Source organism: Homo sapiens, chromosome 7 (assembly GCF_000001405.40).
Source record: "Homo sapiens chromosome 7, GRCh38.p14 Primary Assembly".
Classification (NCBI taxonomy): Eukaryota; Metazoa; Chordata; class Mammalia; order Primates; family Hominidae; genus Homo; species Homo sapiens.
Window position 1 is genome coordinate 10,201,389 of NC_000007.14, and position 26,252 is coordinate 10,227,640.

General features: G+C 36.9%; 1 long non-coding RNA gene and 1 other non-coding gene across 2 annotated transcripts, besides 1 other annotated feature; one reads left to right on the forward strand and one right to left on the reverse strand.

Moving 5' to 3' along the window:
- Positions 1-5,904: 5,904 nt before the first annotated feature.
- LOC105375150 (uncharacterized) lies at positions 5,905-14,345 on the reverse strand. The gene is made up of 2 exons (XR_001745089.1): positions 9,355-14,345; positions 5,905-6,737 (listed from the first exon to the last, which is right to left on the reverse strand). It is a non-coding gene; the product is annotated as an uncharacterized LOC105375150 (long non-coding RNA).
- Positions 11,341-11,541: a silencer, noted in NCBI's record as "peak6380 fragment used in MPRA reporter construct". NCBI's record gives its function as "represses an SCP1 promoter by STARR-seq MPRAs in K562 erythroleukemia cells {active_cell/tissue: K562}" and the evidence as "EXISTENCE:reporter gene assay evidence [ECO:0000049][PMID:32103011]".
- A 7,063-nt stretch (positions 14,346-21,408) lies between the features above and the next one.
- On the forward strand, positions 21,409-21,623 carry LOC124901860 (small nucleolar RNA U3). The gene has a single exon (XR_007060687.1). It is a non-coding gene; the product is annotated as a small nucleolar RNA U3 (small nucleolar RNA).
- The last annotated feature ends 4,629 nt before the right edge of the window (positions 21,624-26,252 follow it).

Here is a 26,252-nt window from a genome sequence, read left to right on the forward strand (position 1 = left end):
CTGGGCCTGGAAACTATTTTGGGGAAGTTTTAAATTATGAATTAAATTACTTAAGAGATATAGAAATATAAGTCTATTCAAATTATCTATTTCATATTGGGTGAATTGTGGTAGTTTAATTTTGAGGAATTGACACATTTCTTCAAAGTTTTAAAATTTATGTTTGTAGAGTTGTTTGCCATATTCTCTTGTTATCATTTTGATTTTGGCAGGATCTATTTTATTTTTTGTATTGATAATTTGTGTCTTCTCTTTTTTTCTTTTACAGTCTTGTGTTAGGTTTTTCAGCTTCATCAATCATTTTGAAGAACCAGATGTTTGGTTCACTGATTTTCTCTATTATTTTTCCATTATCAATTTCGTTGATTTCTGCTCTTATCTTTATTATTTTCTCTTCTACAGGCATACCCATTTTCTTCCAGCCCACATTCCTACTTACTTTTTATATGTGTCTTATGTTTATTTTGCTTTTCTTTTTATATCTTCTTGTGGTGGAAGTTTAAATTATTAATTTCAGACTTTTATTATTTTTTTTGAGATGGAGTCTCACGCTGTTGCCCAGGCTGGAGTGCAGTGTCACAGTCTCAGGTCACCGTAACCTCCACCTCCTGGGTTCAAGCAATTCTCCTACCTCAGCTTCCCGAGTAGCTGCGATTACAGGCTTATGCCACGTAGACCGGCTAATTTTTGTATTTTTTTAGTAGAGACAGGGTTTCACCATGCTGGCCTGGCTGGTCTCGAACTCCTGACCTCAGGTGATCTGCCCGCGTTAGGCTCCCAAACTGCTGGGATTACAGGCTTGAGCCACCGCGCCCGGCTGAGACTTTTCTTCTTTTACGTATGCATCTACTGCTATAAATTTTATCTCAGCACTACTTTAGGTATGTCCTACAATTTTTTGGACTACATTTTTATATTCCTTCTAGCAAGGCAATGTATATTTTTTTATTTTTCTTGAGGCTATCTGTTTTATGCATAGATTATTTAGAAGCATGTGGTTAGGTTTTAAAGTGTTTGGAAGAGAGCTAAATGATAAGAACTTATGAACACAAAGAAGGAAACAACAGACACTGGGATTTACCTCAGGGGGAAGGGTGGGAGGAAGAGGGGAAGCAGAAAAGATAACTACTGGTTACTGAGTTGAATACCTGGGTGATATGCTAATATGCACAACCAACCCTCATGTCACATGTTTATCTATGTAACTAACCTTCACATGTACCCTCAAATCTAAAATGAAAATTTAAATATATATATATATATATATAAAATGTTTGGAGACGGATGGAGTTGGGATGACCAGCCCCCACTAGAAACGTATGATACCTCCCTCGCTGGGAGGCGTAGGAGTGCCTATTTCCTGTTTCCCATGTGGTCCCCACTGACACTTGGGGTAGGGGGTTGATCTCATTACCACTGAGAAGTGTTAAAAGTCCTGACTCTCCCCTGGTCTTCTGACATCACTCGAACATGTGGGAGGATGCCTTATTACTGTTGAGTTGGAGTGGACATCCAGCTTTCCCACCTGGTCTCCACTGACACTACAGGGACTTGCTGTTACTCAGAGAGGAAAGATGTCTTTCTTTGATATGACTTTTGTGGAGGGTGGGGGAAATGGGGGGCGTTTGTCATTACCACCTGGTGATGGTGAAAGCCCAGGATTCTGGCTTGGTTGGCTGGTGTGGGCTGGACTCAGGCCACAGTAATTTATGTGATAAATAACTAAAATGTAGCTGTTATTTTATTTTTCGAGACAGAGTCTCACTCTGTCACCCAGGCTGGAGTGCAATGGCACGATCTCAGCTCACTGCAACCTCCGCCTCCTGGGTTCAAGTGATTCTCCTGCCTCTGCCTCCTGAGTAGCTGGGACTACAGGCACACACCACCATGCCCAGCTACTTTTTATATTTTTAGTAGAGACAGGGTTTCACCATGTTGGCCAGGATGGTCTCGAACTCCTGACTTCATGATCCACCCACCTCAGCCTCCCAAAGTGCTGGGATTACAGGCGTGAGCCACCACGCCCAGCCATATAGCTGTTATTTTCTAAAATCTTCTGTCTTGTTAGGCTTCCACTTTCCTTATCCTTTGGCTTAAGAGAGCAAAATTTTTTTGGAGGGGAGGGAGGAGTTGTCTGTGCCGACTGGTATCTTGAGGTTGCCAGCTTCTTTAGCTCCATGTGTGGGATATATGAGGTAAAAATAAGCCCATCGTGTCATTCTTTGGGTGTCATCAACCTGTCTGCCTTCTTCTTGCTATATTTCACAGTCTTCTTATCTATATAATAGCAGGGTTTTTGTCTTCTTATTTTGCACATAATATCCAGGGTTATTAGTTGAAATTAGCAGAAGAAAGAGGGAAGCACAGGTTCTCCAGCTTCTTGGAAGACCCAGACTCCAAATTATGAATGTGATTGTGATTCTTGGCATGAAATGTTTTTTGCTGCAAAATTATTTTCTGTCTTTTACTTCTGAAAGATTCTCTTTTGAGAGTCTTTCAACATCACAGTTTTCTTTCCATGGATTTTTTTTTCATTAAAAAGAGAACATGTCATACTAGGTCATGTAAAAGTTGTACTTTCTATTCCTTATTCTGAGACTTATAATGGCTCCAATGACAGTTAGCAGTTGACTTCCTTATGATGTTACAAAAGTTGCCTATAATGCCCTACAGCAACAGTTCTACCATCAATCACCTGTTATTAACCCATGTTCCATACATTTATTAAAACTTTTACCAGTCTATTTCTGGTCAGAGACATAAATGTCCTTTTCATGCAATAAAGTTTTTAATAGCAGCAATCAAATTGCCACTACTCATAAATTACCACCTACTTTGTGCTAGATATTATACTTTGTGGAAACAAAGATGAACACATTTCTATGAATTTATGCTCCTGTGGAGGAGACTAAAATGCAAACAAATAATTATAATTCTGGAGTAACACAAAATATAACTGAGAAACATCTCAAACAAATGAGAGAATTAACTTTAATATGTAACAAGAAATCTAGAAGTGCAGCATCTTAAAATGACACCAGGGAACTAGATTCTATGTATTTTTATCCTACTCTCCTCAGCATGTGACCTTGCTTTGTAGTCACAAAGGAAAGGTAAGGTAAGGTAAGGTAAGTCACAAAGGAAAGGAAAGGTAAAAAGACCCTGAAAGTCCCCCCAGATGACTTCCACTTATATCTCATTGTCTATTCTGGGCCACACATAATTATAAAAGAGTCTGGGCAATGTCTCTTTTTTCTTAAGAGGGGTACATGGCTACTATGGGAAAAGTGTGGTCCTGTTAATATGGACAACGCAGAGAATAAATATTGCTACAGAAAAAGTAAGGTTGTTAATATAGGTGAAGACTAGGGAGAACACTTACTCTCCTGACACAATGTCATTTGGTGTTGAATGAGGTGCTAAAGTCTAACTGGTAGAAAAGGGGCTGGGCGCAGTAGCTCACTCCTGTAATTCCAGCAACTTGGGAGGCCGAGGCAGGCAGATAACTTGAGGTCAGGAGTTCGAGACCAGCCTGGTTAACATGGGGAAACCCTGTCTCTACTAAAAGTACAAAAATTAGCCGGGTATAGTGGCGCACACCTGTAATCCCAGCTACTCGGGAGGCTGAGGCAGGAGAATTGCTTGAACCCAGGGGGCAGAGGTTGCAGTGAGCTGAGATGGCATGACTGCACTTGAGCCTGGGAGATAGACCGAGACTCCGTCTAAGAAAGAAAGAGAGAAAGACAGCAAAGAAAGAAAGAGAAAGAGAGAAAGAGAGAGAGAAAGGGAGAAAGGGAAGGGAAAGGAAGGGAAGGGAAGGGAAGGGAAGGGAAGGGAAGGGAAGGGAAGGGAAGGGAAGGGAAGGGAAGGGAAGGGAAGGGAAGGGAACGGAGAAAGAAGGTGTTCTGCGAGAGGGAATAATAGCATAGTAAAATTTCAAGGAGTTTTGGGGGAATAATGGATATTCCTGAATAGACTAAACGTGAGGGGATCGAATATGAGTGGAATTACAGGTAAAACCTTACCTTGCAGCTTAATTGTGGTGGACCTGACATGGCATGTTGAAGAAAGTAGGCTTTATCTCATAGGAATTCAAAAGTTCCTAAATGGCTAATAGATGGGCAAAAGCAGATTTGTGGTTTGGAAAGAGAGCTCTAGTCAGCGATGAGAAAGTGAGTAAAGAGAAGACTGAAAGCTCACTAGTTCATCTTAATCTGTCACTAAAATCTAAAGGTGTTAATCTTTTATTACTTGATAGAAGCTTCTCCACCTGTTTGAATTTTTAAACATATCCTTCCTGAGGTGGAAAAATTATAATTTGTATACAATATTCTGTGTCAGGCTTACCCTGGTTTCAAATAAGGTAGGCTACCATTTTCTAATTTGTTTCCTTTGCCTGGCTTTGCTGCCAACTATTTTCTTTGGTGTCTTTGCTGCCAACTATTTTCTTTGGTGTCTTTGCTGCCAACTATTTTCTATGGTGTCCTTGGCTCTGGCTCTACACTGGGCCTGCTGGAATTTGTTGGAGCTCTGAAAAATGTAGAGTTGATAAATATTATCTCTCACTCGGTTCATACTATTCTTTTTTCTATATGTTTACACAGCTGACCAGGTTATAAAGAAGCAGAGACTAGCTTCTGTTCCTTATTCTATTCTGATAATTTGGAGTGATCAAAGTTTCAAACTGCTGATTAAGCTCCAAGTTCTCAATAAATGTATAATTTGCATTTATAAAACATTTTATTTAAACATTTTAAAACTATGGGTAAACTACCCAAGCAAATGTGGCTTTTAGCATCTGTTAACATATCAGTGACTATTGTTAATTTTTTATGTCAGTTCAACTCATTTCTGTACAACCCCAATAACATTTTCTGGCCATTTCTGGGCATACATTTGTTTGTAGCTTTGCGTGCATCATTCTTTGAACGTAGGGTTGAGCATGACTTTTCATAATCATTTTTTCAAGCCAGTATTCTTTCATGACAGACATAAAATGGGCTTAATTAAATGCCAGACAAAGCTCCATGCATGCTCCTGAGAGTTATACAATAACAAGTGAACATGTAGCTAAGTCTTGATAATGCTGCATTAGTCATTTTTATAAATGGTTCTGAAGCTTATTCCACTATTAGAGTATGTGAAGTTTATTTTTTGGTAACCATCCTAAATTTACACTTACAAAAGTTATTTCTTTTCAAGTGAGGTACAAATAATTTTTCTTAAATGTAGAACTTTATCACCAGTAATAGCAAGAAATTTTAAAATAAGCTTTGACAATGACTGATATTTTAGGTTTTAGATCAAAGGACAATTTTTAGTATTCCTCAATGACTGTTTCTTCAACCAGTATCAACCACATTGTCAATAATGCATGAATTAAAGGGGTGGCCTAATAATGTTTATGTGAATTCACTGAAAGACAAGAAAGTATAATGTCTTTGCATTTCACAAATATTTGGATAAACACTGCCCAAATTCTTAAAGAATTTTATATTGTGCACTTTTGTACAATAGTTTTGTGGACCCTGCAAAAGTCTATGTGTTATTTTAAGCATAGACTAAAGAACATAAACAAACCTTTAGCTTCCTTTTAGCTTATTGTGAATGGCTTAACAATACTAAAAGAGTTTAAGTAAGTTAATAGGTAAGGTGAATTAAATTCATTGCAATCAAAGGAGCAGCAGATATAATTAGGATAAAATTCCTGGATGACTAACATTGCAACAAGTACATGATATGAATCAACTGGGAGGGAACTGCAAGCAGTGCCATTTTCAGATAATTCTAAGCAGAAACAATTCCAAGAATGACCATCTAATAAGAATGATAACATTTGTCCAAAGTCTGAAATTCTGTGGAATCTTTGTTAGTTTAGAAAACATTTGAGATATTAGTTTCCACTCTTTTTACTTTCCGTTTTTATTGAAGATTTTTTTTCTCTTTTTCCATAGCCACCTCTGTGCTGACTCTGGAAAGGGGTGAAGGTAGACAAAAAAGGCTGGAAGTCCACATTGGTTTTTATTATATAACTATTCCTTCCTCCCTTTGCCCTCTCGGCTCCAATTATATTGGCCTTCTTGATAATCCTGAATAAAGCTAGCCAACTCCAGCCTGTATCAAGGATGTTGCAGTTACTAATTTTTCTTTCCAAATTCTGTATTTCACTCATGTATCTCCTCAAATGTCACTTTTTTAGTGAGCATTTCTCCATTTATCCCCTTACAAAATGCAAAAATTAGCATTCTCAGAATATGGTTTATATTTATTTTTTAAATTGCTTATTTTTTTTGTTTCTTTCCACAAGCATAACTTTGTTTTTGCTTACTGCTAAACATCCAGAAAAGAGTGGTTGGCATTTAGTAGATATTCAAGTACTTCCTGAATGAATGGAAGAATATTTCGGAAATTGCAGCCCTTATAAAATTTAGAAAATTTGAATTTTTTCCCACAAGGAACAGGCAGAAAATAATATGTCTTTTTGTTCCTGTAATAAAAAAGAAAAAAAAAAACATCTTGGTCAGGAAGGAAAAATAAAGAAATGATGGGAGCAGAAAATAAATAGAAAGAGGGACCTTGAGCCCTAAAAACTGTGTTGAGCTCCAGGGAGGCCAGAAAGCCACTTGAGAAGGAAATGATTTCTGGGAATTGTTTCTTGGCATAAAAGACTGTAGATTCCCATGTGCAAATTCCTATGCCCTAGCAAGCAGGGAGGTACCTTAGAAGACTCACAGGATCTGAAAAAGGAAATAGATATTTCAATAGTCATTGATGAAGTTCAAATACCAAATACTACCAGGGGTGGCTGTCCTAATACCTAGTATTGCATAAACTCACTGGGAACTTTGATATACTTCTAGGGATAGGAAGAAACACTCAAATACTTAGTAACTTACAGCCTAATAAATGAGAGCTTGATGTAGAAATTGTTGGATTAAATATTTATATTCTTTGTGCACTTGAATTTATGGGCTGGGATTCATAACTGCCCCATTTACAGTTCATTTCAGTGAGAGTACCTGCGTTTCTGATTTCCATTTGCTTATTTTATACTGTACATGAAGGTGAACGTTAGGAAGATGCATTAATTTAAACGCTTGACACTTAGACAACAGGGGAATTTTTTGCTAGTGTTTGGATCACTCTTTACACCCCATAAAGGATGTTGGCAAAAATGTGACATCTGTACTGGCAGTGTGAAAACACTGAGGTCAACAACTGCCGAGATGGCAAGTATGAATCTATTGCTGAAATGTGTTCAAGTCAGCACCACATGTTGCAAAGAAATCATAGAAGCCAGCATCTTTCAAAACCAGTTTGGAAGCTGTCACAAAATTGTCAAATGTATTAATAATCTTATTAAATAGCAGGCTTTTTCAGAAATATTTGTAACAGTCTAGAATCAAGGTGGAGGTTTGAATATATCATACGAGACAAACTCATTATTTTGTGGATGAAAATAATTCATTTGCTTAATATCTCAAATGCATCATCTCTTTCAAACATGTTTGTACAATATGTTTGAAATGGGTTGGATATTTTATATTATTATTATTATTATTATTATTATTATTATTATTTCGGAGACGAAGTTTCTCTCTTTTTGCCCAGGCTGGAGCGCAATGGTGCGATCTTAGCTGACCGTAACCTCTGCCTCCTGCATTCAAGCGATTCTCCTGCCTCAGCCTCTCAGAGTATTTTTATTTTTTAGTATATCGGAAGGCTTCATTTGGCAGCAGGGGATTGCACTGTTAAACTACGTGCTATAGCATATAGTGTTAGGGAATGGATTTGGGATTTAACTTGACAAACAGAAAACATGTGGAGTGTCTTGAAAACTTAAGCAAGTATCTGAGACAAATGTCACCAACATAACTGAGACCTAATAAAAAAAATCACTGATTTATATCATTTTAAGATATATTTGGAAACTTATTTTTCACCAAAAATAAAGTGTCAAACTGGCTAAGGATCCCAGTCTTCTGCTCATTATAAATGTTTCACCTGTGAGAGAATGTAAGCAGTAATTAGAGGTTGCTATTTATTGAAAAATGGGAAAAAACCCTCTATTATTCAGGATTCTGCTACATTTTAAATGAAGAGCATCCTGCGAATAGAATGCTGTTATTGTTGTAGCTGCCCACTTATATGTATTTGGATTTTACTCTGCTCAACTAATCAAAACAAAATTGTAAGATAAAACAGATGCTTAGACTTATTTGTCCTTGAAATTTTTCATGCAAAATCCCCTAATTCAATTTCTTTTTCAAAACATTTTGTGATTTCCAAAATATTTGTATTTTTAAAATTTGATGACTATCTTACATAAATGTTAAAAACTAAACTTAATGTATCTGATTAACGTGCCACTTTTATTTGCTCTATCTTTTAAGATTTTTGTGTAAGATTTTCTTTTTAATAAAGTATTCCTACTACTAAAATAGTTTGAAAATCACTATATAGTTTTCATTTTATCAGATCACTTTTATCATTTTATTGGCCTAGAAATTGTGATCAGCTTTTAGTAACTGGTGGTGAGAAAACACTATGATTCTAATACTGCCTTTCTGGAACTTATAGTTTCATGGGGAGACTACGCCATATATACAGATGTGAAATCACAACTGTCATAAGTGCCATGAAAGAAAGCTACATGTCGCTATAAGAGTCTACGACAGGGGTTTAGTAAATAAGTCAGAAAGTCAGGGAAGACTTGTAGGAAGTCAGGCTTGAGTTGAGGTCTGAGGGAGTAACTGGACTGGGCAAGGAAAGCCTCCAGGGTGAGAAGAACGCACAGGAGGCTGGTGTGGCTGCAAAGGAGTGATGAGTGGGGCTGGATGGGAAGTGAGATTTAGTTGAAAAACAGCCAGGGCTGAGGCCAGGGAACTTAGCCTTCATCACAAGACCAGTGAGAAGCTACTGAAATAATTTTACTACGAAGTTCTATGATGACATATAAACTTCAAAATCACTCTGGCTTTATGGGGGGCAAAAGTTAGAGGGAAAGGAGATAGGATGATGAAGAACAAGGGTAGTAAGTAGGCTATTGAAGTTTTCCAAAGGAGAAAAATTGGAAGCTTAGGCTATCAAGGTTTGAGAGAATATAGTCGACAGATTTGAGAATTTATTTTTAAATGGCAAATTGCCTTTGAGGACATAAGGTGTTCTTGGGGTCTGTTTGTTGTTCAGGTTTTTAATGTGATTAACAGCATGGATGGTGAGACCATCACACATCATTCTAAGCCTCTCTTTTTTATGCTATGAAACGCCAGAGTTAATTTCTAATGTTGTCTTCAGGTCTAACAACATTGGCCCTAACCAATTTGTAAAGGATTTCTGTAAAAATCAGCTTACCTATAATGTCCTATGAAATTAGACAATTTTTTCTTTAGTCTCTCTTCAGTGACGTACTAGGGCAGATCTGAATTATATGAAAGGAAATAGAATAAAAGATGAGTTCTAGTTAGTAATATAAAGGTTAAAATTAAAATGGATTTCTACTGAGGTTATTTATTTTTAAAAATATCAAATAATGACTTTCTTAATCCTTCATTTTTTTAAAGTTTCTCTGAGGTGTGGTCTTGAACCACTTTCTGCTATCTAATATGTTGCCCCCTTCTTTCAGAAGTATTGAATAACTCAGTTCCAGGAACCCAATAGAGTCAAAACAATCTCTAAAAACTTCTAAACGTATTCATTTTGCTCCAGCAACCTTCAAAGTGCTTAAAGTTCTTAATCAATATTTACTTGTGCTTTTGAGGATGATGGCATTTGCATAGCTACAGTATAGACTTTATACTGTATGCTTTACCTGTTGAATGTACTTTGTACTCAGCCATGCTGTTTGCCTTTACAGTAATTATAATGTTGACCATGGAAAATGAGAAAATTCTTGGTTATAGGCATATTGTCATCCTAGTGGAGATTGCAGACACAGCATGAAAATAAAGCTGGACATAGTTATAATATCTTTAATACATTCTAAAAATGTACTTTTCATTTTAATTTCTAAACTGTCTCCTTGGGTGATCTTTAGAAATATGAAACCATCACTTTCACATTTGTGGTATACTTTTTATTTTAGTTTTTTATTCTATTTAGCTGTCTATATATTTAAGATTATTATTTTCTAAAATATTTCTGGTTTCATTTTAGGATTCACTATGTTCTATGCTAAGTTGTGATGCAGGATTTTTGCTCCTTAGCTCAGCTAGTTCCAGGTTCTTCTCTCACAACCAGGAAGAAATAGGCATGCAGATGTCGAAGAGTGAGTGGAGTGAAATTTATTAGGAAAGGAAAGCTCTCAGCAAAAAGAGGGGCCCTAAAAGCAGGTTGCTGGTGCCCTGTTCACAGCTGAATACAGGGGCTTTTACATACGGACTGATGGGGCTGACTTCTTTATTTGTATAAGGTGAAAATTCCTGGTGCCTCCACCCTATTCCCCCAGTGTGCATGTGGGCCCTTAGTCGGCTGCTGGCATGTTTAATCAAGCCCCCTTTGCAAGTTCCCTTATCTGCACAAAACATCTGGTACAAGCACCTGTGGGGTGGGTCAGAGGCTCTCCGGGACCCTTCCCTTACTGTCTACCTAAAGCAAGGTGGCTAATGCCTTTCATTCCCCGCTTGAGGAGTGGATACCCCAACTGCTGGTGGGGAAAGTGGTCAATGACAGCTCTTAACTGCTTCCTGCTGACAGGGGGCACTGTTTTAGGAAAGCGGCAGTTAGGGCTCCTCTTGAGGTCACTTTAAGGGTCTCCAGAAAAATGACACATTCATACCTGGTTCCATTAGCAACACCATTTGAAGTTTAATGGCCGCTAAGCAAGAATAAACAATTAGGGTTATTAGAAGATGCACATCAAAATGAAACAAGGGGGTAAGGGCAGCTCAAAAAAACCCCAAGGCTGCTGAAATGCCCAGAAAACTGGTGGCTATAGTTATGCCTGCCAAGATGTGGGGGCATGGGGCTTGGCTCTGGTTAGCTCCCTTGGTCTTATTTTCCATAACAAAGAAACTTCTGGGTTATGGGCACCCCATTTATTCTTACCACCTTGCAGGCTTTGCAGGATAATTGTCCAGAACTAGACTATTGATCTAGATCTTTATATTACCCATCTGTCTGTTTCTTCTGAGATACAGCCAGAGATCACTGGTTGGTTCACGGGGATAAACAGGGTTAGTCTAGAATGTAGGCAAAAACCTAAAAACAACAGATGAGACGAGAATTTAATAACAAGTATATGGTAAGCATTGAAACATAATTTTTCTCTCTCTAGTCCCCATTTTTGTCAAAAACAAATCATGATAGGACTAAGTTGCTTGTAAAATAAACCTTAGTCTTATACTTGGCCTGATTATTTGCGTAAAGTGCAGCATGAGTAATTGTTTTTCACACAGGCCTTTAAATCGGCTTTAATGACACCCTGTTCCCCACGGAATCTCAGATAAGACCTTTTACAGCTGAGGCCAGCCATGGGTTGGTAGCCTCAAATACCTATGAGTTGAGTAAATTCCTCTTTTCTTGAGGTCTCAAGAACATGGGTCTCCTGGGCCTATTAGAAAGTAACATTCTTTACTTACCACAGGTTAGGAACCCTAAAGGTTTTGAGAGGGATCTTTCTGCTTTCAATTCCTGGGGTTTCATAAGGAAAACAGAGGTTTTCACCCACATTAACAGGGGGCCGAGGGGGTGGGAATTATCCACACTTATCCACATGTGGCCTTTTCCCAATGCTGTCAGTAGCCTTTGAGTTCCCTAGACCTTGTCTATGCCATGAATGCTAGCATGACCTCTATCCATGAAGTGGGAGCATCCTCTATCCATGAATGCTACCATGACCTCCTCTATCCATGAAATTCAGCAGGACTTAGTCATGCTAAGGTAAAGCTATGGAGCTGAGTCCTCCTCAAACAAGGGAGAGAAAAGGATGTCTTGTGAATTGGGGTACTGGCCTAATAAGATGTCTTCCAAAGGAAAAAAAAAAACCTCTTGCATAAAAGGTAACTCCTGACAGTGTGGGGAAAAGAAAAAAAAAAAAAACAGCTTAAGGGCAGGGCAGGGAAGATGCCTGAGGGAAAATCCTCTAGCTCTATGCAAATGGGTTCCTCCAACAGGGAGAGAAACTTTCAATCATTGTACCCTCTTCCTGGCTTGGCCACGGGAGGAAAGACTCTGTTGGTGCATGGCGTCGGGGGGATGGTAAGCAGGAAACACTGGCCAGCTGGCCACATGGGGCCCTTGGCTACCGAGGCTGTCCTGGGGCCCGGGCCCAGGTGGCAGCCACAGCTCATTCCCACCCCACATGTCCATCAGGATGGGGGTGGGCGACACCTCTAAGAACAGAAGGAAATCGCATTATTCTGAATTGCATGTCTGATGGCTGGGTCAAAGGCTCATTCTACCTAGTAATATCTCCGCAGTTTGCAGCAACACCCTTAACATTACAAAAGAAGAGATAGGTGCCGTGACAGTACTGAAAAAAAGAAGTAAAACGCCATAGAAAAGACTGGATTGGGACGAGACCGACATTCCCAACCCCAGAGGATGACGGGGGTGGGCGTGTCATGGTCCTCTCCTGCATCCTGTCCTCTGTAGCTGTGCCATTCATTCCTAATTGGCTCACCAGAGGTTCAGTGCTGCATCTGCCTTCAGGAAAAGTCTGAGGACAAGAAGGCTCAGAAATGAAAGTGAAAGGCTGTGGGACTGCATTTACTCACCCACCAGGTATCCCAGATGAGCCCCCAAAATGATGCAGGTTTTTTGTGCCTTAGCTCAGCTACGTCCAGGTTCTTGTCTCATGACCAGGAAGAATAAGCATGCGGACATTGAAAAAATGAGTGGAGTAGAATTTATTAAGTGAAAAGGAAAGCTCTCAGCAAAAAGAGGGGTTCTAATAGCAGGTTGCTGGTTGCCCCCTTCAGAGTTGAATACAAGGGCCTTTACATACAAGCTGATGAAGGTGGGTTCCCTATTTATATAAGGCATGAATTGCTGGTGGCTCCATCCCATTCCCCTAGTTGTATGTGGGCCCTTAGTCTGTACGTTTAGGCAAGCCCCCTTTGCAAGTTCCTTTATCTGCACAAAACATCTGGTGCAAGCACCTACAGGGCAGGTCAAAGGCTCTCCAGGACCCTTTCCTTACTGTTTGCCTAAAGCAAGCTTGCTAACTCCTTTCAATGGCATACCCCATATTAAGTAATATAAATTCATATGAATATTCTGCTTAATTCTTTCTTGTGTAGAGAGGATCTTGCATCTACCAATCAATAAACTTCTGCTTAACATGAATTTAAGGTAGAAGGTTGTCTTTCCATGATGAATTTTCTATTTATCCAGTTTAAGAAAACATTTGCAAGCACAGGCCAGTGTTGCAATGGATAATGCGTCTGACTATGGACCAGAAAAGTATTTGCCTTCCTTAAAGAAATGTGGTCTATATAGCTGGTTACAGATGCTTTTCTGAGCTCCTTTTTAAAGAAACAGGACCCTATAGAGAAGAAATTACTAGGCAAAGAGTCAAATAACTTTTTTTTACCACAAGACATGTAAGCTCCCTTAGCTTCAATTTCTTCATTAGTAAAATAGGTATTATAATAATATCTTTCCTGCTTACTTATAGAATTGTTTTGAGAATCAAATGGGAGTAATAATTTAAAAGAACTCTAAAATCTGTAAAGTACTCTACTAGTGAAATATACTACCATTCCTTATAGGAAGGCTTTTTCCTGTATAAACATTGCATGCTTACTAGTTTTATCATTACATGATTAGCATATGCATTAGTTTCCTATGGCTGCTATAACCAGCTACCAACACCTTCATGGCTTAGAACAACATAAATGTATTCTCTTTCAGTTCAGGAGGCTGAAATTATCTTCATTGAGCTAATGTGAAGGTGTTTGAGAGGTTAGCTCCTTCTGGAGGAACTAAGAGAAGATTTCTCCCCTTGCCTTTTTTTAGCTTCTGGAGGCTACCTACATTCCATCGCCCATGACGCCTTTTTTGCACCTGTGCAACCTTTTGCTTCTATAATTACATTGCCTCTCTCTCCTCTCTCTAATCATGTATTTTACTGTCTCCCTTTTCATAGAAGACAGTCATTATATTTAGGTCCTTCCCTGATTATCCATGATAATCTCTTTCTCTCAAGATCTTCAACTTAATCACATCTGAAAAAATCCCTTTTGTCATGTAAGTCAACATTTACAGGTTCCAGAGAATAGGATTGTACAGGCATACCCCAAATATATTTTGGGTTAGCTTCCAGACAATAACAATAACGTCACAACAAAGCAAATCACATATATTTTTGTTTCCCAGTAATTATAAAACATATATACAATATATTGTAGTCTATTAAATGTGTAATAGCATTATGTCTAAAAGAACAATGTACATATCTTAATTAAAAATACTTTATTGCAAAAAAATGCCAAAAATCTTCTGAGTCTTCAGCAGGTTGTAGCGTTTTTGCTGGTGGAGAGTCCTGCCTCAGATGTTGATGGCTGATGACTGATCAGGGTGGTGGTTGATGAAGGCTAAGGTGGCTGTGGCAATTTCTTAAAATAAGACTTCAATGGAGATTACCACATCAATTGACTCTTCCTTTCACAAAATATTTCTCTGTAGCATACCATGCTGTTTGATAGAATTTCACCCACAGTGGAACTTCTTTCAAAATTAGAGTCAATCCTTTCAAACCCCACCACTACTTTATCAACTAAGTTTATGTAATATTATAATTTTTTTTGTCATTTCAACAATGCTTAAATTATCTTCACCAGGAGTAGACTCCATCTCAAAAAAACACTTTTTTACTCTCATTCATAAAAAGCAACTCCTTTTACATTAATTTTTTTCTCATGTAATCGTAGCAATTCAGTCACATCTTCAGCCTCTGCTTCTAATTCTAGTTCTCTTGCTGTTTCCATTCTGCTAATGTTTATTAGCAGTTACTTCTTCTGCTGAAGTCTTGAACTCCTCGAAGTCATCCATGAGGGTTAGAATCAATTTCTTCCAAACTCCTGTTAATGTTAATATTTTGATCTCCTTTCATGAATTATGAATGCTCTTAATGGCACCTAGAAGAGCGACTCCTTTCCTCAATTTACTTTGCCAGATCCATGAGAGAAATAACTATCTATGGCAGCTGTAGCCTTACAAAATGTATTTTTTAAATATAAGACTTGAAAGTCAGAATGACTCCTTCATCCACGGGCTACCTAATGTATGTTGTGTCAGCAAGCATGACAACAAGAGTAATCTTGCACATCTCCATCAAAGCTCTTGGGTGACTAGGTGCATTGTCAATGAGCAGTATATTTTGAAAGAAACCTCTTTTCTGAGCAGTAGCTCTCCACAGGGAGCTTAAAATATTCAGTAAACCCTGCTGTAAACAGATGTGCTGTCATCAGGCTTTGTTGTTTCATTTATATAGCACAGGCAGAGTAGATTTAAGATAAACCTTAAGCATCTTAATATTTTTAGAACGGTAAATGAGCATTGGCTTCAACCTAAAGTCACCAGCTGTATTAGCCCCTCACAAGAGAATCAGCTTACATTTTAAGCTCTGAAACCAGGAATTGGTGCCTCCTCTTTAGCTATGAAAGTTCTAGATGGCATTTTCTTCCAACACAGTAGAAGGCTGTTTAATCTACGTTGAAAATTTGTTATTGAGTGTAGCCACATTCATTAATCATCTTAGCTAGATCTTGCTGCAACATCTACATCAGCACTTGGTGCTTCACCTTGCAATTTTATGTGCAAAGTGAAAGAAGACTTTATAGAAAAGACTTCTTTCCTTAAACCTCATGATCCAACCTCTTCTAGCTTTAAACTTTTCTTCGCAGCTTCCTTCCCTCTCTTCATAGAATAGAAGAGCATTAAGGCCATTCTCTAGATGAAGCTTTGGCTTAAGGCAATGTTGCAGTTGGTTTAATCTTCTATCCAGACCACTGAAACTTTCTCCATGTCAGCAATGAGGGTCTTTCACCTTCTTACCATTCGTGTGTCCACTGGAGTAGCACTTTGCATTTTTTTCAAGGACTTACCTTTGCATTCACATCTTGGCTAACTGGCACAAGAGGCTTAGATTTCTGCCTATCTCAGCTTTTGACATGCCTTCCTCACTAAGTTTAATCATTTCTAGCTTTCGATTTAAAGTGAGAGATGTGAAACCCTTTCTTTTACTGAAACACTTAAAAGCCATTGTAGTATTATAAATTGGCCTAATTTCAATATTGCTGTGCCTCAGGAAATAGAGAGACCCAAGCAGAGGGAGAGAGATGGAGAAATGACCAGTCAGTGGAGCTGTCAGAACACACACACCACTTGTTGATCGAGTCTGCCATCTTATATCAGCATTGTTTGTGGTTCCCCAGAATGATTTCAGTGGTAACAACAAAGATCACTGATCACATATCACCATAGCAAATATAATAATAATAATTTTCAAAGTTGATATATTGTAATAATTACCAAGTGACACAAAGACACAAAGGGAGCACTTGCTGTTGGAAAAAGTGCATCAATAGACTTGCACAATGTAGGGTTGCCACAAACCTTCAGTTTGTAAAAATCACAGTACCTGCAAAGCACAAAAAAGTGAAGTGCAATGAAACAGGGTATGCCTGTAGATGTCTTTGGGGCCATTATTCAGTCTACCACAATTATTACAGGACGATCACGTGTAGCCAAGTATCTTCATGGATAAGAAATCAGATGGATGCAGCTAGTTACTGTTCATGAAAACATTCACCAGCAGGGCCTTTCCCTAGAGTAGTAAGAGGTTTCTAGCCTGAAACCTCTTGATAATTGGTCTATCAATCAATGGACACAAAAAAGTGTCACTCCTACAATGTGGGTATTCCTAAAATGAAATGTTTTCATATTAGAATGGTCCTTCTGTTAGAAAGTCCAGAAGTAACTGAGTCCTAAAAGAAGAGGGGGAGGGAAAAATGGGTGGGAGCATCAAAGAAACCAAGCTATAAGCACACCAGAATGTTGTCTTAACAGCAGCAAGAATGTTGTCTGTTTCAAAATGCACTTTGATTCAATAAAGGCTCCCAGAGGTAAAAATAGTAATAACAATAATAATAATTGTTTTTAAACTGCTATTTCAAGACACTATGATTCTGACCAGCAACACTTTGACAAGCTATTAGAGTAACTTCTTGTCTTATATAAATAATTAATGATTACTCCCTTAAAGGGAACCATGCACTGATGCAAGGATACCTTCTCCCACATATAATCATTCTAACACTTCTTTCTGTAAAGTCACTGACTAGTCAGAAAGGTTTTTTTTTTTTAACTTCACTATGCTTTCCTAAATGATAAATTATGATAATGGGTCTTATTAGAATTCAGGGGTAAATAGAACTGTTCAGCAAATTATACTTATTTGCAATTGCTGAATTCCTAAATGAATTCTCATATGTTTAGGCCTATGCTGGCAAAGCAATATTAATTTTAATCTAAGTGATTTGAAAACAAATTAGCTACCTTTCTCATCCCACCCACTGTTCACTGGCAATTCTTCACCACAGTCCAAATTTGGTTAACACTTTGATTGAGTTACAGGTAAAATGATAACCATTAGGCAGTTTTTCAATTTTTATATAAATAATCTAGTTTTTGAAAATTTTAACTCAGAGCTTCATAAAATCTTCACACATGAATTAGAAAAATTGGACTAGGTTAAAATTTGAATGTTTGTCCTTTTAAAAAATCGGTATTGGCTACATAAATGTGTTATTATTAGAGAAAAGAACTGAGAGATCTTGGAATAGAAAACTAACTTTTGCAATATGTGTTTTGAAAAAAAAACATGTATCAGTATTTCAGACTATGCCTGGTTAATAGATTGATAATCAATAAACAATTGAATGCAGTATAGAATATCCACCTTTTTACCTTTCTGCTCTTGTGTATATTCTCTATAAATGAATCCCACATCTCTGACTTAACAACTGCTCATTGTCCTTAACATGACTTCAGCCTAAGCCATTCCTCCTAACCCCTACATTTTCCTGTGGTTATCATGGTATCATACTCCCTCCAGGCTTCAGTGCCATGGATATCACAGTCGTTTCTGAGGCAGTAGACATCAAATATTTACCTTTTTTTTCTTTTAAAGTTTTTTTTCTCTAGCTTATTTCCAATTAGTTATGCCATCACTCTGGATAGAAGCCCCACCACTATTTACTTTGAATTCTTTAAGAGCCATTTAATTTTCCAGGTTTAATTCTAACCTTTCCATCTGTTTATCACACCAACTGTTTTTAAATATTGATTTTATCTCTTTATTCACTCTTAAAATCCCTGGATGGTTCTTCTTCAAGTCTTCACCAGTTTTTTGAGCCCTTTTATTTTTTAATCTCACTGGGCAACCCAACTTTACTCTACAGCTCCTGCTTCCTCAACCACAGAAAATTCTAATTTTTCACTGCCCCAAATGTGTTCCTCCATTTATTTTGCTTTATTTTGTTGTGATGTCATCCTTCTTTCTATTCCATAAGTGTTCATATTATCCTATAGTTTTTTTCTTATTTTTGAAGTATTTCTTTCATACAAGCATAAAATATCACTCTGGCACTCATGGCTGAAAGAGAAAGACCAAGCTATTCAAGTAAAACACATGAAGTGCTCTGTGTGATAGGTGACTGAATTCTTGATATTATTCTGGCTTTGCATGTAAATCAGGTAAGTTATTAGATGAGATCATTATGGCTAATTTTGCTGACAATAATTATCTAATTTCAGGATAAGATTTTGGCTTCAGCTTTGGAATGATATATATGTTGCTTCATTTTCTTATTTATGTATTTGTTTTGAGATGGAGTTTCGCTCTTGTTGCCCAGGCTGGAGTGCAATGGCATGATCTCAGCTCACCGCAACCTCCGCCTCCCAGGTTCAAGCGATTCTTCTGCCTCAGCCTCCTGAGTAGCCGGGATTACAGGCATGCGTCACCATACATGGCTAATTTTGTGTTTTTAGTAGAGATGGGGTATCTCCATGTTGGTCAAGATGGTCTCGAACTCCTGACCTCAGGTGATCCACCCGCCTCAGCCTCCCAAAGTTCTGGTATTGCAGGCATGAGCCACTGTGCCTGGCTGTTGCTTCATTTTCATTACATCTTTATTACTAAAAGTAACTTAAATGTAGCCAAAGGATTTAGGTATACACTTGTTTTCATTCCATTCCTCAGTCATCATTTGGCAAGATTAAGTCTACTTTATATTTTTAAATTTTTGGTGCCACTAAAATCTGTAAGTTAAACAAATCTATAAAATGTATTTTACTACAAGAAACATGCAGCAAAATTTTATAATTTCAAGAAAGTATTTAAAAATTAGAGTGGGGGCTATCTAGTTGTTTTTTTTTTTTCAAAGTTTCAGAATAATCAATAAAAGATTGCCAATGTGAGAACACTGAAGCCTAACTAGGGAGTGAGACTTTAGTTATAATATGAATTGACTATATAGACTATAGCCTTTAATATTTCAAATATTCCTCCAATAAATTTCTAAAAAAACTAGTTGACTTTTTCCTGGGCACACCTTATACAAACATAGGCACTGCAGTTATGAAATGAACGTTTTATCTCTTCTATACCAATGACCTATCATTAAAGTCAGTAGGATGGAAATTGTTTTGAAGAATGCAAGTAGTTACACTTGGAATTTACAAAATTGCTTTGAAACTGCACTCCTCCTTCTTTCTACAAATTAACTCCTCTGATGGATTTTTTTTTTTTTTCTGGTAGCCTTTTCCTGCTCCCTCAAGCTATAATTAGTCATTGAAAATTGTCTCAGTGCATGGTTGGAAGACACTATAAACTCTGGACATAGTTCTTTCTCCTTGTTAAGAAAAGGCTCTCACTGAGTGATATAATCTCAGTAACCTAATGACCAGAAAGTGATTTCAGAACATCATGTCCACTATTCTTCTTTAGCAGGCTGTAATAGTAGCACAGGTACAAAATTATCAGTATTCTGTCTTTTTAAAGACACTAGTAAAGCAGAAGCACAGCTAGTGCACCCAGAACTTAACTCACCTAATTGTTTACATTTTGGTTAACAGAAAAAATAATCCTTATTTTGATAAGTATTCTGTGTCTTCATGTCATTATAAAACTAATAAACTATGAAGGTAGATAAAATCAAAACCACTCATTCAAAATGTGTTTACAGTTGCATTGCAGCTCACTTCTAGTCTCAGGCTAAAGCAGCATTTAAATGCTAGATATTTGATATCTGCAATTTTGAGAGAAAAATGCTGAATCAATTTAAAATAGCTTCAAACATGTAGACATTTATGTGGGAACTAATTGGCATAAACAAGAGGGAAAATTGCTGAAATGATTTACATGTGCCTGTTTATAAAGCCTGCTGGATTTTAACTACACATTATTCAATGCTTTGTTGTAACTTCGTGTATCTTATTCATCAATCACATCTAAACCACTGGGGTTCTGACAATAACAAATATGGAATGTATCCCATTTTCTCTCTATTGTTGTTATAAGGAAAGCAATATAGAAGAAAACAAGCTAAGCCAGTAAGTCACAAAATAAAGTGAGCAAATCAGTGTGACCGGAAGTGGGACAAATCTCTTCAGGAGTCCAAACTCTTAAAATCAGATTTTTTTTCCTAATTTGGGAATTCAGCTTTACTAAATCTAAATGCTTAAGTCTTTGCCCTCAAACACAACACCTTTTAATTTGTTATTGCTGAACATTATAAATTCTGCAATTATAAATTCTGCAATTGCTAATTCTTGTTGAGGCTCACCCTGCATGGACCAGACATAGTGGGAACTGATTTCCATGTAATGTATGATGTACATCCTCTAGTAGAAGTCAAACTTTTTATTTACTGTTGTAGTGTCACCCCGGTAGTAGCAAAGTGCTTTGTAATAAATTATTACTAAATTTTAAAAAAACTAATAATAAACAAAAATTCTAGATTGCCAAAATGATCTTCCTAAAATTGTCAAACTGATCTTAATCTTTTTCTTTTAAATAAATCAGTGTGTAATGCATAATATTTTATGTTTTAAAGAAAATTAACAAAATAAAATTACCAGGATATGTTATCCCACAGATGCACAGCTAATGAAATAATATGAAGAAACTTTTAATAAAACTGTCATAGAATATGTAGGAGATAAACTACACATACACAGCAACTAGGTAGAGTCAAGCACATAAATAAACCAAACAAATTATACTTTATGAATTTAAATTGTACAAGAATAAAAAAGGTAATTAGAGCTTTAGAAGATGAAATATAATCTGGGTATTATAATATAGAGTAAAAAATAAAACAAAGTTTTAAATTATGAGAAATGGAAGATAATTTGGGAATAGAATGACCAGACAAAATATCTGATTAAAGAAGTCTCAGAAAGATGATACTTTCAGTGATCTTTTTTCAGTTTATTACTAGAAAAGTGTCTCTGAACCTGGAGAGCACCAGAAACCAAGAGGAGGAGATGTAGCGCTCTCTCCTGAGCTTAAAGCTGGCTCTTGGTTTTGCTTTGCTGCAACTGCTTTTTGCCATTGATGATCATTCTTCTCTTCCTCCTGGGAAGTAAGAGAGAGAAGATGCAGCACGAATGGTTCTTTTTTCCAATTTTTTTTTTAAAAAAGAAGTTTTTTTAAAAGAAGTTTTGAGAAAGAAAAAAACTTATGGAAAATAAACAAGAATTGAAGAAATAATAAATCAAAAAACATATTTATTTTGGATGGAGACTAAAACTTGAGTGCCAGACAGGATTCATTCCTTCAGTTGTTCAGTCTCTCAACAGATGTTTATTCAGCAAATATTGTATGCCAGATGCTGTTGTAAGTGCTAGGGATATGGCAGGAAGTACATGTTGTTAGGAGGGAAAGACAGGCAAGAAACAATAAGTACTAGATTATGGAAAGACACTGTTTTAGTCTATTCTCGCAGCTATAACAGACTATCACAGACTGGTAAATTATACCGAATAGGAATTTCTTTCTTTTTTTTTTTTTCCTGAGACAGAGTCTTACTCCCTCCCCCAGGCTGGAGTGTAGTGGCGCGATCTCAGCTCACTGCAACCTCCGCCTTCTGGGTTCAAGCAATTATCCTGCCTCAGCCTCCTGAGTAGCTAGGATTACAGGGGTGCACCACCACGCCCAGCTAATTTTTTTTGTATTTAGTAGAGACGGGGTTTCACCATGTTGGCCAGCCTGATCTCGAACTCCTGACCTCGTGATCCACCCGCCTCAGCCTCCCAAAGTGCTGGGATTACAGGCATGAGCCACCACACCGGGCCAGAAATTTATTTCTAACAGTTCTGGAGCTGGGAAGTCTAAGAACAAAGCACCAGCAGATTTTGGTGTCTGGTGAGGGCCTGGTCTCCACTTCCAAAGTGGTGCCTTTAACCCTGAATTCTCTGGAAGAGAGGAACTTTGTGTCCTCACGTGGCAGAAGAGCAAGAGAGAGCAAATCCACTCCAGCAAGCCCTTTTTATAGGGGCATAAATTCATCTATAAGATCAGAGACCTCATGACCTAAACACCTCCCATGAGGCTCCACCTCCCAACACTGTTGCATTGGGGAAAACATTCAAACCATAGCAGACAGTACATTTTAAGAGTTTAGAGAGTACTGAAAAGGTGATTTTTCCCCCTATAACTTTATTTTCTTTTCCTCTTGATGTGACTTGTACATAGAGCAATGAATGAAAGTCTCCTTTAACCCAAACAAAGAAAATGTAAAAAATAACAGAGAACTTTAATTTCTATATTGAAAAGTCCTACCACGTATCTGAAAAAATTGACTTTCAGTGATTATTGCACTCCCTTGCATTTCTTTGTCCCTGTCTATGTCTTCTTTATCCTCTGTAGTTTCCACTTTATAAAAGTGGGTATTTTGCTACTTGGCATAGATCGATGATAGATGATAGATAGATAGATAGATAGATAGATAATAAATAGAGATAAAGAGACAAATAACTTACATATACATAATTATTAAATCTTTATGTCTTTATTGTAAATTATGACTTTTAGTGTTTAAACATGGCCTAAATTTTAGGTTTCATCATTTTTTAATTGAATTTTACTTGGCTGATATGAAGATTGCAATCTGTGATTTTATGTTACTTCTATTTCCTTGATATACTTCTGTATTTTTCTTTAGTGTAACCCAGAGCTCACATACAAGTTCTCTTATGTAGCATCCAGCCTTAATGGCTTCTCTCAATCTCTCTCACTGACTCTTACCCCCAATTCATTAACTTCCAATTTTATGCAGAGTAATTTGCTCCACTTTAAACTTTGATCCCAAACTTTCATATTCAAATCTTCAAAGAGGTCAGATTAAACAAACCCTCCAGTTGTTAAGACACATTCTCCTTAGAGTATGACAGTACACACACACACGCGCGCACACACACACACACACACACCAGGAGGGTTTGGCAGACTGAAAACTCATAGGTGTGAGCCTATAAAATTGAAGCAATAGTGTTACACCAAGAGAAATGTACAGGTCATACAGAATAGTCTTTTATAGGGAGGTAAAGACATGTATATTCATACTTAATCATGCTGTTTCAGATGCCAGGGAGGCCTGCTATCTAAAATATGAAGTTTTAAAAAGAATAAGAGAACTAGAAATGCTGGGCAAAAGTTCAGAAATCTTAATATGTCAATTTTATACCTACAAAAAAAGCTAAACTATAAAGTCTGTATGATTTTGGGCAAAATTTCAGTAGGAATTAATTATGAAGGATTTGAGTTTCTTTAATAAAAGTCAAATTAGTATTGACTTTATGTTTGTAATGCAGAAATTATTTCTTTTTTATCATCACTTTCATTTCCATATCATGAAGTCGCAAGTGAACTAACTCTATGTGGAATTGAAAGTAATGTTCTAAAGTATGTAAACTTTAGAGAGTCTGAGTCATCTTCTATTGTGCTGATTTTCAGCTAGTCTGTCATTTTTATATTGTTGCTAAGTGCTTTTCCATCTAATTGCATAGGGACTGATTTGTTTAGCAACCTCTGTTTAGAGTCAGGCTTTGTTCTCTTCACTGTGGACACCATTCTGGCATTGTTTTCCTGTTTCCATTGTTTCTCAGAGCATATTTTAACACAAGCATTTTGTGATTCAATTATCCTTCCCTCACCCCTCCCATATGTAAGCCAGAGTACCCTTTGGCTCTAAATATATGCTTGTAACAGCTGCTTTGCAATGTTCATTGCAAAAGAGACAAAGAGAGCCCAAACAGCTATGTTACTAAACCGTACACATAAAATAGTCATACTCAATTAAAGACAACAGTAATCAAAACAGAAATAAGGAATATTTGCAATTCAGAAGCATTAGGGTAACTGTAATTCCCATAGCCTTTTATAAACGTATTTGGTGATTAATTCAGAATATCATGAAAAAATGCATACCTCCTTTGACAATTCACATAATACTTTATAGCTATATGCATTTAGGCTGTGGATTATCTCATTCTGAGAAATGTAAAGCACAAGGTCTAAGCAGAGCGAACATTATGTTATATTGGGAATGATACATGGTGTAAAACAAAAGGAAGACCTTTTAATCATATTTCCAGAAGGTCTTAATTCCTTTTAGAGACCTTTATGCACTAAGGCTCTCTAAGCATGAAACTAGAAAAGAGAAAGAAAATCTACTACAAAAGTTAAAGAAAATAATTGATAGAGCCAATCTATAGCCTAAATGTATTTGTTCATGGATAAGATAAATTAATGAGTAAAAAGAAAATAAGATCGTTGGTCCACTTTTAATGTTACCTTACATAAACTCCATTTGATAGTCTTATCTTGAAAAAAATATTATTTTTGTCTAAACAAATTGTGGAAGAGGGTACAGCTGTGAAATAGGGAAAAATGTCTAATAAGTAAAAAAATAAAAACAGTGCATAGATATCAAAAAGAGAGTCTCTGGAGTTTAGGACTATCTGAGTAGGCTAAGAAAACAATTATTGGCAGGCATGGCAAGCAAATCAGTAAGAGTTTGAAGGATCAAGATCTCCAAAGTAAAAGGGAACTTTAGAGAAATGGGCATAACATTCTGTGGAAAATTTCCCCTTGAGGCACTAGCTGAATGCTAAAATTTGCATTTGAAGAACATATGTCTAAGAATTCAAGCAGAAATCAACTGCTGAGATACTAAAAGTTTAGGCAGATAGTTTGGCAGTATTTTGGTGCGGGGAAGATGAAAATTAGAATGTAGGATCATTACAAAACAAGGGACTTAGGGTGCAGTGGCTCATGCCTGAGATCCTAGCACTTTGGGAGGCCAAAGCGGGAGGATTGCTGGAGCCCAGGAGTTTAAAACCAGCCTGGGCAACATAGCAACATAGTGAAACCCCATTTCTACAAAAAAAAAAAAAAAAAAGAGGAAAAAGATGGACTTACAAAAATCTCAGGCCTTTAGTTGGATCCCTGAAAAGGCAACAACTATAGAGTGAGAAGCAAACTAGAAACAGAATATCCTCTGCTGAAACAAGGTAATCTGCATGTATTTTAGTAGCCCCCAAGAAGAAAGATATCATTGAGAATGCCAGCAATTTTTCATATACATTTGGGATTCAGTCAAAATTTATCAGATATGCCAGAGAATAGAACCAAATGACTGAGAAATGTAAGAGAAAAACTTAAAAGTAGAGCAGCAGAAAATCAAAATATCTGAGGTATCAGGACTAAACTTAATATGTTCCAAAAATAAATACAAAGATGGAATATTTTCATCAGAGAATTGGAATTTAATTTAAAAATCAAATAGAAATCAGGGATCTTACAAAATACTGAAATTAAGATATAGATGACTTTAATAGTAGATTAATGATTAACCACAGTAGAAGAAATAAAGTATTTACCAATAGATTCACATACTTATACACATACAAAATATACAGTTTGAAGCAAGCAAGTAAATTAAATGAAATATAAAATAAGAGCTATGTGGAACATAATTGAAAAAAAGGTTCATGTATTTGTAACTGGATTCCAAAAAGGAGAAATGACAGAGGAAAAAAATAGAAGTATGAGAAGAAATGTTGGCTAAGAATTTCCCAAAACTAATGAAAAGCATCAAGTCTTTGGAGCCATTCAAGAAGCTCTATGAATCACAGCCCAGCTAAAAACAAAATAATAACACCTATTATATAAAACTGCTAAAAACTAAAGCCAAATGACAATCTTAAAAGCATGCAAATAAAAGACACATTAGTTTCAA